We start from the raw sequence: 15,790 nt of genomic DNA, 5'->3' as shown, positions 1-15,790 counted from the left end.
AAATTAGGAGGGAGGCTCACAGGTCTTCAACATATTACACTTCAACAACTTACATGTACATTACATACATATTCCATATGCCAAGAAGATAAATGGGCTGGGCAAGGTGGCCCATGCCTGTAATCCCAGTACTTTGGGAGATCGAGGCAGGCGGATCACCTGAGGTCGGGATTCGAGACCAGCCTGGCCAACAAGGCAAAACCTTGTCTCTACTAAAAAAATACAAAAGTTAGCTGGGTGTGGTGGTGCGCACTTGTAATCCCAGCTACTCAGGAGGCTGTGGCTGGAGAATTGCTTGAACCCGGGAGGCAGAAGTTGTGGTGAGCCGAGATTGCACCACTGCACTCCAGCCTGGGTGACAGAGTAAGACTCTGTCTCAATTAAAAATAATAATAATAATAATAATAATAATTAAAAAGCAGAAGGGAGGGAGAAGAGTGTTGCAACAGACAGAACAGCATGTGCAAAGGCTCAGAGGAGACAGAGCTCTTGGAGCCTTGGGGAACTGAAGATCACTGTCAGGGTCAAATGAGCATACAGGCAAGACAATCCGGCAGAGGACTCAGCAGAGCTGGGGGCACCGAGGTGCTTGACAAGGGTTTGCTGAGTCATTTAGTGGCTCAATGCTTCCTAGCACTGCCACCCACCCAAGTCCTCAGTAGGTGACAGGGCCAGGCTCGGGAAAGGGGGCCTCTGAGGAAAGCCCAGCACTCATCGGTAGACATTCAGTCCTGCCAGAACCAGGCAGGCTATTTCGGGCCACCTGCCTCAGGCTTCTGGTCATGGGTACCAGATGGCCATCTGAATTCAGAAGCTTTGGGAGTGCTTTAGATTGGAATTTTAGAAACTGTAAGCTGTTTACTGGTCCAGCAAAGGCTCCAGTGATGGAAACCAGGTGCTTGGAATTTCTTACTGCCCACCCTCACCTTCCTCCTTCATAACAAGAGGGTAATGCCACCAACCCTCAGAGGTCTGTTTGGGAACTAATGAACATATTTTCATTCATTCATTCTTTATGCAACAACCTGGGCTAGGCAGACAGCCGTGAACAAAACAGGGCTGGTCCCTGCCCTCAAGGACTGGGAGGAAGGCAAACAAATCACCCAAAAATTTACCAGTTATAAGAAGAAAATGCATATTATAGGGGAAAACACAGGGGATACAAATTCAGATTTGGAGGAATAGTTAGAAAAGACCCATAAGAGAAAAGAACATTTCGACTGAGACCTAAAAGATGAGTAAAAGTAAGAAATGTGGCCAGGTGCAATGGCTCATGGCTGTAATCCCAGCACTCTCGGAGGCCAAGGCAGGAGGATCACTTGAGCCCAGGAATTTAAGACTAGCCTGGGCAACACAGGGAAACCCCGTCTCTACAAAAAATCCAAAAATTAGCCAGGTGTAGTGGTACGTGCCTGTGGTCCCAGCTACTCAGAAGGCTGAGGCGGGAGGATCACCTGGGCCCAGGAGATCTAGACTGCAGTGAGCCATGACCACGCCACAGCACTGCAACCTGGGAGACAGAGCAAGACTCTGTCTCAACAAAAAAAAAAAAAAGAAAAAGGGAATTCATTAATTCCTTCAAATATTTATTGTTGTCTATTCTATGCCAGGCACTATTCTAGGTGCCAGGCTACACTGGTGAACAAAAAAGCCAGACATCCCATCTCAAGAAGCTTACACTGGATGGGGACAGGAGGCCATAAGCCAACAGGAGCCACACAAAAGTCCAGGCCATCCTTCCAGACAGAGGGAAGAGTCGGTTCTGAGGACCCTCCAACAGGGCAGAGGGGGAGCAGAGCTGAGGCTGCAGATGCAGGTGGGCGACAGATCCTCAGGGCAAAGAACAGTATTCCTGAAGAGTCAGGAAGCTACTGGAAGGAAACAGCACATGACATACAGGACCCTCATACAGAGGGTGCTGATGACGTGGTGGCCATGGCTGTGGGAGACGAGGGAGTCCAGGCTCCTGCTGAAACTTGAGGCTCCTGGGACTTGCTGAGCCTCCATAGCTGTGGTGGGCTGGATGTGTCCAGGGACCCAGGCAGGGCTGCCCTGGCTTCTGCCATCTTCAGCAAGTGACCAATGACCCCAAGTAGCAGTTTCTTATCTGCAAAAATGTGGGGCACCAGCAGGTTCACCGAGTCACTCAGCCTGGTGCTCAGCAAATGGGGCTGGAGTTGTGGTTACAGTGGACCCTCTGTAACCTGCTAACCCTTTTCCCAGGCCGGGCCTCCACTAAAGCACCCTCTCTCCTACACTGCAGGGCCTCCAAGGCCTGGGCTGCCACTGCCTCCTCTGCCCTCTCTGAGGGCCCCAGCCCTGTGTTTCTCCATCCCAAGCTGTTCACACTGAGATGGGGCTTTGCTATGATGACTCGGTGAAATAGCAGAGGAGAAAGTGCTTCTCTTTAGTGTCCTGCACCCCTGTCCCCCACCTTTCCTGCAAGGCAAATGATAAATGAGGACAAATATATCTGCACAATAAAATTACATCTATCTTCAATAGAGGAGTCCTTATAAAGGTCCCAAAATAAAAATAGGCAAAGGGCATGAAGAACCAATTCCCAGAACCATGTAACATGTTAACAATAAACAGGTTAGGTCGGGCGCAGTGGCTCATGCCTGTAATCCCAGCACTTTGGGAGGCCAAGACAGGAGGATCACTTGAGGCCAGGAGTTCGAGACCATCCTGGGCAACATAGCGAGACCTCATCTCTACAAAAAACAAAAAAGACCAGGCACGGTAGTTCACGCCTGTCATCCCAGACTTTGGGAGGCCAAGGCGCGTGGATCACCTGAGGTCGGGAGTTACAGACCAGCCTGACCAACATGGAGAAATCCTGTCTCTACAAAACATACAAAATTAGCCGGGTGTGGTGGTGCATGCCTGTAATCCCAGCTACTCGGGAGGCTGTGGCAGGAGAATCGCTTGAACCTGGGAGGCGGAAGTTGTGATGACCTGAGATCGCGCCATTGCACTCCAGCCTGGGCAACAAGAGTGAAACTCCATTAAAAAAAAAAAAAAACCCACAAAAATACAAAACAAACAAACAAAACCGAAGTTAACTAGTAGTCAAAAGAACGCTCGCTAAAACAAGACACCATCTTAACATCAAGGCACCCACATGCAAATACTATTCATTCAATCATTAAAAAAAAAATCTGGTCAGGTGCAGTGACTCACGCCTGCAATTCCAGCACTTTGGGATGCTGAGGCAGGCAGATCACCTGAGATCAGGAGTTTGAGACCAGCCTGGCCAACAGTGAAACCCCGTCTCTACTAAAAATACGAAAATTAGCCGGGCGTGGTGGTGCGCGCCTATAATCCCAGCTACTCGGGAGGCTAAGGCAGGAGAATGGCTTGAGCCTAGGAGGTGGAGTTTGCAGTCAGCCAAGATCACGCCACTGCACTCCAGCTTGAGGGACAGATCGAGACCCTGTCTCTGGCCATGGTTTAAACCTCAAAAGCAGAAAAAAAGAGAGAGACCCTCTCTCAGAAAAAAATCTAAAGCTACAGTGGTGACTATGACGACAGAACCCTAGCCCTCAACACTCACTGTCCAATGTGGGCACAGCCAGTATCTGAGACTTCCAATGTTCCTTCCCTTTGACCTGGTAAAATCACCTTCTAAGAATTTTTTCTAAGAAGGCTACCCGTGTGATGAGCATGAAGATTTATGGACAAGGACGAACATCACTGCATTATCTATGCAACTGAAAACTGGAAAGGACCTAAACGCTCAGCAATGCGGAAATGGCTAGAATGAATTACAACAGCCCAGTGATGTACTTTAAATCATGCTTTCTAAAAAAACGGAAAAATGAAGTGCAGAAGCAGGATATTCAACTGTATCTACAGTATCCTCACAGCTTTATTTTTATCTAGCGGTGGCTGTGAATCTAGCCAGAGAGAAGAGACGGGAAGGAAATGCACTGGCATTACACGCTGAAAACATCCCAGGTGGTGCAAATCGCTCAGCTGAGAAGTCCTGCATCCGGGATACACGTATATAGAACTCTCACAACTCAATAATGAAGGGACAAACAATTCATTTACTTATTTTTTATTTATTTTTGAGACAGAGTCTCACCTAGGCTGGAGTCCAATGGCAAGACCACAGCTCATTGCAGCCTCGACCTCCTGGGCTCAAGCAATCCTCCCACATTAGCCTCCCAGGTAGCTGGGACTACAGGCATGAGCCACCAGGCTTGGTTAATTTTTTACATTTTTTTATAGAGATGGGGTCTCACCATGTCGTCCAGGCTGGTCTCGAACTCCTGGGCTCAAATGATCTGCCCACCTTGGCTTCCCAAAGTGCTGGGATTACAATTGTGAGCCACTGCGCCTGGCTCCCCTTTTTTTTAATAGAGACTGGGTCTTGCTATGTTGCCCAGGCTGGTCGCGAACTCTTCGGCCTCCCAAAGTGCTGGGATTATAGGCATGAATCACTGTGCCCGGCTGGCTCAATTTAAAAATGGGCAAAAGAACTAAAAAGACATTTCTCCAAAGAAGATACACAAGTGTTCAGCAAGCACATAAAAAGATGCTCAACATCAGCTGGGCACGGTGGCTCATGCCTCTAATCCCAGCACTTTGGGAGGCCAAGGTGGGCGGATCACGAGTTCAGGAGATTGAGACCATCCTGGCTAACATGGTGAAATCCCGTCTCTACTAAAAACACAAAAAATTAGCCGGGCATGGTGGCGGGCGCCTGTAGTCTCAGCAACTTGGGAGGCTGAGGCAGGAGAATGGCGTGAACCTGGGAGGCGGAGCGTGCAGTGAGCCGAGATCACGCCACTGCACTCCAGCCTGGGTGACAGAGCGAGACTCCATCTCAAAAAAAAAAAAAAAAAAAAAAAAAAAGATGCTCAACATCATTAGCCATAAGGAAATGCAAATCAAAAGCACAACGAAGCCTGAGCAACCCGGTGCAAATCCATCTCTACAAAACAATTAAAAATAAGAAAATCAGCCAGGCATGGTGGCTTGTGCCTGTGGTTCTAGCTAATCTGGAGGCTGAGGCAAGAGGATCACTTGAGCCTGGGAGGTGGAGGCTGCAGTGAGCTAGGATTGCACTACTGCACTCCAGCCTGGGCGACAGAGGAAGACCTCATCTCAAAACAAACAGGCCAGGCGCGGCGGCTCACGCCTGTAATCCCAGAGCTTTGGGAGGCCGAGGCGGGTGGATCATTTGAGGTCAGGAGTTCGAGATCAGCCCAGCCAACATGGTGAAACCCTGTCTCTACTAAAAATACAAAAAAATTAGCTGGGCATGGTGGCGCATGCCTATAATCCCAGCTACTTGGGAGGCTGAGGCAGGAGAATCGCTTAAACTTGGGAGGCAAAGGTTTCAGTAAGCCAAGATCCTGCCACTGTACTCCAGCCTGGGCAACAAGAGCGAAACTCCATCTCAAAAAAAAAACAAAAACAAAAACAAAACAGCTGGAGGGGTGGCCGAGGAGAGCAGCAGGAGCCTGGACCCAAGTGCCAGGGCATCCTTGGGTAAGTGCCGCCCCTCTCTGGTTACCCCTCTACCCCTGAGATGAGGAAGGGGCTGGTGCCAGCCCTGGATTCTTTTGACTGCACTGGAAGGCAGTAAGCACAAACACCTGGACCTAACAGCTGGTGGGAGGACATTCAGTCAGATGGCCCCGCCTGTTGGTGTCTGCTCCACCCCAGGACCAGACAGGATCAGGCCACTGTCAGACTTGGGCACTCTAAGCCAGGCTCCATGAGGGCGCTGTCCCTGGGCTCTGCCAGCAACAGCCCCAACTCCATTTTAATGGAACAACATTTACTGAACACCTGCTCTGTGCCTGGAGCTGTGCAGGAGACACAGCAGGGACCGAGAAAGCCCCGGGCCTGACCCCCTGGGACTTGTCCAGCAGGGAACACAGGTCCAGGCACAGCAAGGAAGGCAGCCCTCCAGGGAAACGGAACACTGACTGTTCATTGTGATCATAGTAGGCAGAACCGGGCCGGGAATCAAGGATCCCAAGCCCGTGACAGAAGGGGATTACAGAACACAGAGTGAGAACGGAGTCATGGAAGCTTGGCTGGGTGGCCGGTCGCCCCTGACACCTGTGACACATGGGTCACAGGGAATGGGGAATTAGGTCACCTGCCACAAAGGTACACGGCAGATCAATTATCAGAACCTTGCCTGCCACCCCGTGACAGGGAGGAGGTCCTGGGATCCAATCACTCCCTAAATGGTGCGGTGTCCTACATGGAGAGATGGGAAACACTGACGCGCAGTGGGAAAGGACCCCGGGCACCATCCTGCCCCACAGAGAGGGCAAGCATCCTGGCCTATGACCCCCAGCAAGTCAACAGCAAAGACGGGCCTGTTTGCCAGTCCTGCGCTGCCATTCTCACCAGGCTGGCGGGGGGATACCAGAGGCAGGCTTTGTACTCCCCTCCCTAAAGCTCCTCCTCCTCTCTGCCCACTTCCTTTTCTGGACCAGGGACTATGCTAGGGTAGGGACTGTCTGAGCTGCTCATGGCAAGGACTAAGACCCAGCATTGCATGCCACTTCCTTCTCCACCTGCCATATTGCGCTCCTGCCCAGAGCCAGGCCCAGTGCCACGTGGTCTGGGGCACTGGGGAATACAGTGGCACCAAACCCAACCCACCACTGCCTAGTGATGCTTCCAGTCCAGGGCAAGAGTATCAGCAGGCCCGCAGATAAGCAGATCGCTGGCCACCTGACGGGGAGCCCATTAGGAGGGCCAGGAAGGAAGGGTTTGCTGGCACCTGAAAGATTAGTGAGAGCCACCTGTGTGCGTAGGTGGGGCCGGTCTTCCAGGACAGGATGTGGGGAGCTGCCTGCGTGTTCTAGGACTGAAAGGAAGCCACGATGGCTTGAACCCAGCAAGAGCATGGCAAGGTGATCTCGGTCGTGGCCGGCGATGGTGGCAAGAGCCAGGTTATACCTGGGCTTCCTAACCTGTTGCAGGGACACTAGATCAGAGGGAAAGGCAGCAGGGAGGTCACAAGTGTGATGTGAAACAGGAATAGCAAAGTCTGCTTTTTCAAGAATGCTGTGGCTGCTAGGTGGGGAGCGGGTTGGAGAGGGAGCAGGAGAGCCATTGGGAGGCCCCTCCACCTGGCATGGCAGGGACAGCAAAGTGGAGGCAAAACAGGCGCTGGTTGGCAAGGAATGAAGGAATGAATGCAGGAAAAAAGGACTCAGTGAACGAAATCTTCCTTCCCCACACCCCATGCTCCCTGACTGTCCTGAGCCCCAGTGCCTGGGTTACAAAGGCTTTGCGGCACCCGGCCTGGGTGCTCATAAGCAACCCCACTTTGCCCGGAGTCCTTAAGGTTCCTGGAGGCGTTCAGTGGTTCCACCCCTCCCAGGAGCCAGATGGACAGGATGCAGCCCTCTGCAGCACTGGTCCAGGGAGGGGAGATGGGCCCGAACAAATAACAACAGAGCGAGGAGGCGCCATGGGAACCCAGACGAGCGGAGCAGAGCTTTGTCCGGGGATTAGAGAAGGCCTTGCCCAGAAGGCAGCACGGGAGGGGGAGTTGGTCAGGAAGGGCAGGGGACTATCGAGGGGTGTGCTGGGCAAAGGCGCCTGCGTCTAGGCGTGGGAGGGGTAACGGGAATTGGTCAGGAAGGGCAGGGGACTAGCGAGGGGCGTGCTAGGCAGAGGCGCCTGTGTCTAGGAGGCTGGGCGTTCTGTGGGAAAGGCCTCCCACACCAGGCCCACGGGTGTGGACTTTGTCCTGTAGTTACAGTGGAGCCCTGGGGGCTTTCTGAAACAGGACAGAGGATCAGAACCATTCAAGCTGCCGGGCTATAACTCAGCTCCTCCTCTACTACCTGTGTGGCCTTGGCACCTCTGTGAGCCTGTTTCCTCCTCCAAGATTAACGATGCATGTAAAGAGCTTAGCCCTGTTAAGCGCTCCATAAATGGGAGCTTTGAGTACCATCACCTCCATCACCACCACCAGGAGGCATGACCCCTGCAGAGAGTCACTTCCCTGCGGCTCGCTTTCACCTTTTGGCAGCCCCACTCTCCCACCCTCCCTCCCTGTTGTCCTGGGGAACCAAGCGAGTTCAGCTGTGACAGTGCTTTGCTTTGCAAAAGGGAAGACTGCACAGGACGCGAGCAGTTCTCCACTACATCGCTGACAGCAGCTGGTGAGAGCCTCGGAGACCGTGGAGAGAGGGAGGGGTGGGTGTGAAGGTGGCACACGAGTCCGACCCCGGCGGGTCCCAAGCGCCAGCTTGCTAGAGGAGCCCGCCCACCTAACCAGGGAACACATTCCCAGCTGGAACCCAACCAGCCCTGAGGGGAGCATCCGACTGCAGGGCTCCCGACCCAGGCTTCCGCTGCGAAGTGAGATGGGCGCTGGGCAAGTCACATGAGCTGTGCGGATGTCAGCAGACACTTCCAAACCTCCACCCCCACCTTGAGGCAACCGCTCAGTACCAGCTGCCTAGAGGAAGGGAAGGGGTGAGAACAACTTCTGAGTGCCTACTGTGTACCTCCATCCACCACCAATTCATCCAGTGTGAGACCCTGCGGAGGGCCAGGCACCATGGAGGGTGCTGGGGACACAGGTGAGCCAAGACAAAGATGGGTCCTGCCTTCATGGACCTTCCTACTTAATGTACGAAACATAGCCAAGCATGACGGATCTCTCGAATTCCTTTTGGCACCCAGCCTCTGAACCACCTTCTTGCAATTAGGGAAGCCCCTCCACATCTCCCACCTCCTCTTAGCTGAAACAGCAGACCCCAGCCTCCTGTGTGGCTCCAGCCCAGGAGCCTGACGTGGGCTCAGCCCTGGAGGTGCTGTGGCGGCTATGTAACAGGAGCGGCATCAGCTCCACACTTGATGCAGGGTGTGCTCCTGCTGGCGTGGGCCCCAGGCCTGGCTCTCTGGTCTTCCCAGAGAGTCTAAAAACTTTGAGAGAGTCCTCATCTGGCAAAATGGCTTCACAAATGGGGAAAGTGGTCCAGGGAGGTCAAGGGACTTGCCCAAGGCCACACAGCCCAAGTGTGGAGGAGCCGAAATCACACTCAGGCAGATGATCCTACCCGCTGGTCATCTAGCCCCACCTGCCTAACCCTTACAGCCGGGGGAGGCAGGAACCAGTCAAGTTCAAGGCAGTGACCACCTCACTCAACTTTCCCATGTCCTCATGAGCGCCTGCAACAGCCAGCTACTGTTCCAGCTGCTTTCCAAGTAGAGGCTAATTTAATCCTCAATCCCCATACAAATGGGGACACTGAGGCAAAGAAGCTGGGTGATTTGCCCAAGGGCAGAGCTGGGACTGGCACCCAGGGGGCTCCCGTGCTGCCTCTCAGGTTACTGCCATTTCACAAACATGGAACGAGGCCCGCTGCGGGCTCCAGAGTCTCCTCCTGGAACCCTTGGGCCAGACGTGTTTTAGAATCAGAATTTTCTGGATTTTATAAGACTGATCAGACACCGATATTGCGCTAAGCCACCAGAGGGGTTTGGGATGGTCTGTAGAGTTTTCTGGATCTGGGTACTGTGAGACCTGAAGGGACTGTGGAGGTGAAGTCACTGGAGAGGTCACCGGACTTCACAGCCCACACGCCTCCCACAGCCCATGCAGGGGCAGGATGTCCCAAGCAGGCCAAGGACACGCTGGCTGGGGGAGCACGAGGGAAGGGACTCAGATCCAAGGAGAGAAGGGAAGGGGAATAACAGTCACCTCAGAGGTGCTATGGGAAACAGTGGCATCGGCAAACCTGCTGGTGGAGGGGAGGACTCAGAGGAATCTGATGAAGAAGTCAATGAAGTCAAGTGTCAGCTATCAGCCAATATGAGGCTACGCCAAGCCTACAGCCTCCGGGCTCCTGGCTCACGGCCCCTCCCTGGCCTCCCTGTCTCAGTCTCACCCTATTCATGTCACCTCCACACAGGATTCTGTTAAAAACACCCACCATGCCCCTCCTTTTTCTTTTGAGACAGGGTCTCACTCTGTCACATAGGCTGGAGGGCAGTGGTGTGATCACAGCTCACTAAAGCCTCGACCTCCTGGACTCAAGTGATCCTTCCACCTCAGCCTCCTGAGTAGCTGGGACTATAGGCACATGCCACCATGCCCGGCTGATTTTTGTATTTTTTGTAGAGACAAGGTCTCGTCATGTTGCCAAGGCTGGTCTTAAACTCCTGGGCTTAAGTGATCTTCCCGCCTGGAGCTCCTGAAGTGCTGGGATGACAGGCGTGAGCCCCCCATGCCCAGCCCAGGCCCCTTCTTAAGCCCTCTGGGGCTCCCTGCTAGCACAGCCCATAAGGCCCCACACAGCAGTCTCTCCTGCCTCCTCCAGCCTCACCTCTGACCAGCCTGCCTCTACCTCAACTAAGTCTGGCTTTTTTCTGTTCTTCAGACATACCAGGCTGGTTCTCTCTGCCTTCCACCCCTGGTGCACTCCTCCCACTGCTCCTCACCTGGCTTACTGCTGGATTTCCTTGGTGACGTCCTTTCTAGGAAGCTGCCTCTGCCCTGCCCTCCTGCACACCCTGTGGACCCTCCCTAATCTGAGTCCTCAGAAGCCTGGTTTGCTGAGAATTCTTTACTGTGTGTCTCCCTCACTTGACTGTGACCCCCACAGAAGCATGGACTGGGCCTGTCTTCTGCCCTGACTCGTAACACGTGGCACGGCCACACCATGCTGAATGCATGACTGGTTACGGGGTCACCAAGTCACTCACGCAGCAAGAATATATTGAGCGCCTATCACATACCAGACACTGAGTAGCACAGGAAGAACACGTCCCAGAGGCCAAGGGTCAGAACAGCAGGCAATGCTGAGGACAGAGGAGCAGCACAAATCTCCAGGGACTCAAGCTGTCCACGAACCACAGTGACCCCCTCCTGCGTGCCCACCAAGGCTGGGCCCTTACCCCACCTGTTTCTGTTTCTCCTCCCTGCCACAACACCGCAAAGCCAGCACTGTTGCCTCTATTTTATAAACGATTCTGGGTTATAGATGAAGAGACCGTATGGCACGTTGCACCGAATGCGTCCAAGCACTCAGCCGCCGCACAGGGGTTATTACTGCGCAGGCTTCGGCGCCAGGCTGGCTGCCTGGATTTGAATCCCAGCTCCACCACTTACCCACTGTGTGACCTCAGGAAAATTACTTTACCTCTATGGGCTCCATTTCCTCATCTACAAATTGGGGCAAACGGCACCTACCTCCTGGGGTGGCTGTGATATCTAAATGCGATAATACACAAAAGGCACTGAGACCAGTGCCTGGTACAGGCACATGGAAGGCAATGACTGGTGATGACTAAGGTCAGCCAGAAGGCAAGAATTTAACCCACCTGCCCCCATGCCCTACTGCAGCAGGTGGCCGGCTCAGCTTGAATTTCTGCAGTATTTCAATGCTCACCTGTTAATTTGCTCCAAAAAAGGCTTTGAGGTCAATGCCAGCCACCCCTGAACTGAGGTCTGAAGGCAGGCTTGGGACTGAGTGATGGATGGCGGAGCAAAGCACACAGACAGCCAAGCGAGGTTGTCAGAACCACCTGGGGAGCTTTTGTAAAAACAGGTTTCTGGCCTCCGTGCTCAGTGACTGCTCCAGCTGCAGTCCGTCCAACACAGGGCATTTGGCCCCACGGTTCTTAATCCTCTTGGAGTCGGATGCCTGTGAAGGTTCGCAGAGCCCCAGTACTCGCTCCCAGAAACAAGTGCACACGCACTCCCGCTGACGCACTGAAGGCTGGTTACCGAGTGCCAGCTGGGGGCCAGCTTCGCGTGCTCTTCCGGGAGTCAGAATGGGTGCTAAAGCCTGTCTGTAGGTCCCTGAGAAAGAGTCCTCGTCCTGGCACCAACTGGATTAACTACCACAAAAAAAGTTTCCTGTAAATCCCACCATGGGGTGTTTGATCCCAGGAAAACACCCCAGTCCTTCGGACATGTGTCCCGTGCCCGAGCCCTCCTGTGTGCTAGACTAGGGTCACAGAGGTGACTCATACACAGTCTTTGCCCTTGAAGGGGGAAATAGATGCGAGCACAGATAATCACAGGCACAAAGAATCAGGCGGCCCAACTGCATGTACAGGCACGGAGAGCGGCGAGTCACAGTGTGCAAAGGGCCTGGGAGGGCAGAGGACAGGCACCAGCACAATACCACCACTAACCTGATCATGCTCCAACAGGGCAGGGGGCTGGGGTGGTGGAGCCCCCGCTCCAGAGGAGACTCAGGCTCAGGGAGGAGCTGCAACTTGTCCAAAGTCATCAGCCAGAGTAGGCAGAAGCTGGAACTAACATGGCCAGTGTGGAATCTTGGTACCCCTGCTGCCTCTTCTACTAGTGGGCTGAGACAGGCTGATTTAGTTTTAGCTCAGAGAGATTGGACAAATTGTCCACGGTCACACAGCTTGGCAGAGACAGAGTCAGGCCTGGAGGTCAGGGACTGCTGGGGCACCCAGCCTGGAGGAGTGGGCCTCTGAGGGAAAGCAGGGACGCTGACGTGGGACACTATAGGGGAAAGAGGAGTACAAATACACAACACGGGCAGGAAACAGAAACAAAATGTTAGGGCTATAGGTGGGGGCAGAGGAGTGGTGATGACAGGAATAACAAGGGAGGCATTTGCTGGGCATTTACTATGGATCAGGCACTGTGTTATCTCACTTAATCCTCCCAATCACCCTATGAGGACATACTGCTGCATTTTAGACACAGAAAAATCGAGGCAGAGAGAACAATCGCCAAAGTCACGTGGCTGCTCAGTGGCAGGGTCTACTTGCCAACTCCAGCAGCAGGAGGTGGAGCTGGGCCCAGACGGAAATCTGAGCAGATGCATCAAAGCACCCGCCTCGACCCTGTTCCCTACTCCCCAGCAGCTCCACCACGAATGCTGAAGCAAGCCGATTCTCTAACCTGGGGCCTCTTTCCACCACTGACAGATGCATGTCTACCTGTCCAGCCTGCTTTTAGGACTGAATCTGCAGCACGGGTTTCAATAGCCAACAGTATGGCATTTCCATGCCCTAAGATCCGCATTTAAGAACACCCTGCCCCCACCCCTCCCGCTGCCTTCCAAAGCTCAGGTGGCCAGAGATGGTAGCATGCTTGGGCCCCCTCACCCTGCCCTGCAGACACCTTGACTTCATGCAAGTAGCTTCCTAGTGGGCAAACCCCCAACGCACACACACTGGAGGACTGATGGTCAGGGAGCAGGGAGTGAGTCACCGGCAGGACTGGAGGAGGGGAGATGAGTCTCCCGGACTGTGGCTGGTGTCATGTGCTCTCATCACAAGTCCCTCTCACATGCCTATCTTTCCAACCCCACAGAGTTCAGCTGGGACTGAGGAGACCAGCCGAGCCTCAGGTCATTCCTGCAGTTTGGCCTGATGGGTTCCTTGTGTAAGTCTGGCCTTGGCCTTCAGAAGAGCTGAAGGGTCTGCCACAACATGATGGGGTGCAGTGCAGCCGGCTAGCTCGCTCCCCACGGGCACCCACGTGCCCAGCCTGGCAGTGCTGAAGCGGCCTCTTTCACTCACGATTCCCAGCCTGCCTCCTCCCCGAGCTTCCCTGCCCATCTACACACACCTGGCTGTGGCTTGCTGAGGAGACCTGCCCCCAGCAGGTTCACCCTATCCTCTGACATCCTGGTGGTCTGCAGGGCAGGGATCACTGGCCCTGTTTCACAGGTGAGGAAACACAATGCTCTGCAAGAACCCATGCTTGCCAGAGGCCACAGAGCACACTGCTGCCCCACTGGCATCCCCACGCCAGGCTGCTCAGGCCCCTGACATTCAGCTACATGTCACTCTGCTAGGTGGCTCTCAGACACCACCAGGCCTCACGGGCCCACAGGCGCTCATTCAACAACTGAGTGTCCTTGAGGAAAGCGGAGAAGAGGATGGACTTCGGCCTCTGCTCTCCCATTCCAGCGCGGGAGAGAGACCACCACCAAGAAAACAAGCACACAACAGAAGAACATCAGATGGCCATTCACGTAATGAGGAAACAGCAGCCCCAGCAGGCGGAACCCCACTGTGGGAGATGGGAATCCGGATAAGCCTGGGCAGGCTCGAGACCCTCCCTCACAATCCCCCTCCTCCAGATCACCTCATCTCCAGGAATCCCCAAACCCTGGGCCCCTGCAGGGCCTGAGGGAGCGCTCACCCTCAGGTAGACACCCCCCACAGCTCCCACCCAGCTGGGCCACCACTGTAGCCCCAGGGGTGAGGCTCTGCTGAAGGAGACCCCTGCACTGGGGTGCCCCCAGTGCTGCTTCCTCCTCACCCAGGGGCGCTCCTCCATCCCCTGGCCTAGGCAGCGCTCCATCTCTAGCACGGCACAACAGCTTCCGGATAACTGAGTCTCCCCCCTTCAGACCTGTCAGCTCTTCTGTTACCCCTTGGCCTTGGGGTCACGCCACCCTTCCACTAGATCCACAGCTCAAATGACACCCCCTGTCCCTCCCCACAGCTTATGAGATTGATGCCAACAAATCTCCTACCTCTGTTCCAAGACCAAGCAACCCCTCCCTGCAGTCCTCCAGCCCCAGACCCTCTGGGCCTCTCACTTGGGCCTCCCCTTAGACCCACTTTCTGTACCACGATTCCTCTTCACCCTGGCGAACCCTCCACCTCCCACAGCCCCATGGCCAGTGAACCACTCCATCGTCCTCCCCAGCATGGAGCCTAACCCCTGCTCCTTGCTGTTCCCAGGCCCTTGGGTTTTCTGTCCTGCAAATCCCTTTGTCCAAACTCACCAACTTCACCAATGACCCCTCCCCTGCCCAGGCCCAAGATCATCCAACTCCTCACTGCCAAGCCAACTCCTCAAGCCCTCTTCCCAAACAGGATGGACCAATTCTTCCAGTCCAGTCCATGTCATCACCTCTGCAGCTCAGACGCACGGACTCCTCGAGAGTGTGAGTCCCAACCAGACCTTACTGCCCCTCTCTCAACCGCTGGAATGAGAGACTCCCCCAGCCTGGAGAGTGTTACCCACTCTACCCCTTACCCAGGACAGACCAACCGGCACCCCTCCTCTAAACTCCTCCCAGCCAGGCTCCAACTGCCCCTCTTTTCTTGACAGATAGCCTTCTGCCTCTCCAGTTCTTTCACTGCCTCTTCAAGACTGCACGTGAAAACAAACAAACAAACAAAAAACAAATCTGCCTGGATGACAGCTGCTATTTATGTGGCAGAAATTTATGAGGACTATCTTACTTCATCTTCACAACTACCCCATGGTAAAAATTAGCACCTCCATTTGCAGAGAAAGAAACAGAGGCTTGGAGAGGAAAAGTGGCTTACTGAATGAAAGCCAAACCTGTTCTGGGAATCTGCAGACCAGAAACTTTACCCCCCAAAGCCCAATCTGTGCCAGACTCTCTTGCTGCCCTCACCCCTGACCCTTCAGCCCACAAACTGACCATCTTCCCCCTCGCACCTCACTCCAGGCCCACGCATTGACTGCCATCTCTCCCCTCTCCTGGAAGCCTCTGAAGCAGCCACATCCAGGCCCCACCCCATGCATGAACTCCTCCACACCAGCCCAAGATGACCAACACTGTCTTAATAACAATGACTGCCATCGAGAACACTCACCCTGGCCAATTCCTTTCCATATGTGACTTCATCCAGTCCTCTCCTAAATTCCGTGGCAAGAGTATTGCCACCTACTTCACAGATGGGAAGACTGAGGCTCAGGAGTTAGGTAACCAGCCCGAGGTCTCAAAGGATCTGACCTGGAGCCTCTGCTCTTGAAACACCCTGCTCTGCCTCTCCAGGTCTTTCCCCTTCCTGCTCTGGACTGGATATCACG

The 15,790-nt window shown here is 54.1% G+C and overlaps 1 protein-coding gene across 1 annotated transcript in view, besides 4 other annotated features; it reads right to left on the bottom strand.

The window, feature by feature from the left end:
- Window positions 1-15,790, bottom strand: part of PPP1R37 (protein phosphatase 1 regulatory subunit 37) — a 54,107-nt gene that overhangs the window by 35,615 nt on the left and 2,702 nt on the right. The gene's annotated exons all lie outside the window — the stretch shown is intronic.
- Window positions 5,877-6,466: an enhancer, noted in NCBI's record as "H3K4me1 hESC enhancer chr19:45608463-45609052 (GRCh37/hg19 assembly coordinates)". NCBI's record gives its function as "activates a minimal SCP1, AML or CMV promoter by ChIP-STARR-seq in primed H9 embryonic stem cells {active_cell/tissue: H9 hESC(primed)}" and the evidence as "EXISTENCE:reporter gene assay evidence [ECO:0000049][PMID:30033119]".
- Window positions 11,179-11,766: an enhancer, noted in NCBI's record as "H3K4me1 hESC enhancer chr19:45603163-45603750 (GRCh37/hg19 assembly coordinates)". NCBI's record gives its function as "activates a minimal SCP1, AML or CMV promoter by ChIP-STARR-seq in primed H9 embryonic stem cells {active_cell/tissue: H9 hESC(primed)}" and the evidence as "EXISTENCE:reporter gene assay evidence [ECO:0000049][PMID:30033119]".
- Window positions 12,945-13,534: an enhancer, noted in NCBI's record as "H3K27ac-H3K4me1 hESC enhancer chr19:45601395-45601984 (GRCh37/hg19 assembly coordinates)". NCBI's record gives its function as "activates a minimal SCP1, AML or CMV promoter by ChIP-STARR-seq in naive H9 embryonic stem cells {active_cell/tissue: H9 hESC(naive)}" and the evidence as "EXISTENCE:reporter gene assay evidence [ECO:0000049][PMID:30033119]".
- Window positions 13,535-14,123: an enhancer, noted in NCBI's record as "H3K27ac-H3K4me1 hESC enhancer chr19:45600806-45601394 (GRCh37/hg19 assembly coordinates)". NCBI's record gives its function as "activates a minimal SCP1, AML or CMV promoter by ChIP-STARR-seq in naive H9 embryonic stem cells {active_cell/tissue: H9 hESC(naive)}" and the evidence as "EXISTENCE:reporter gene assay evidence [ECO:0000049][PMID:30033119]".

The sequence above is a fragment of the Homo sapiens genome, chromosome 19, assembly GCF_000001405.40.
Source record: "Homo sapiens chromosome 19, GRCh38.p14 Primary Assembly".
NCBI classification, from domain to species: Eukaryota; Metazoa; Chordata; class Mammalia; order Primates; family Hominidae; genus Homo; species Homo sapiens.
The sequence above is the reverse complement of the archived record's forward strand: the minus strand, read 5'-3'. Positions and strand labels throughout refer to the sequence as shown.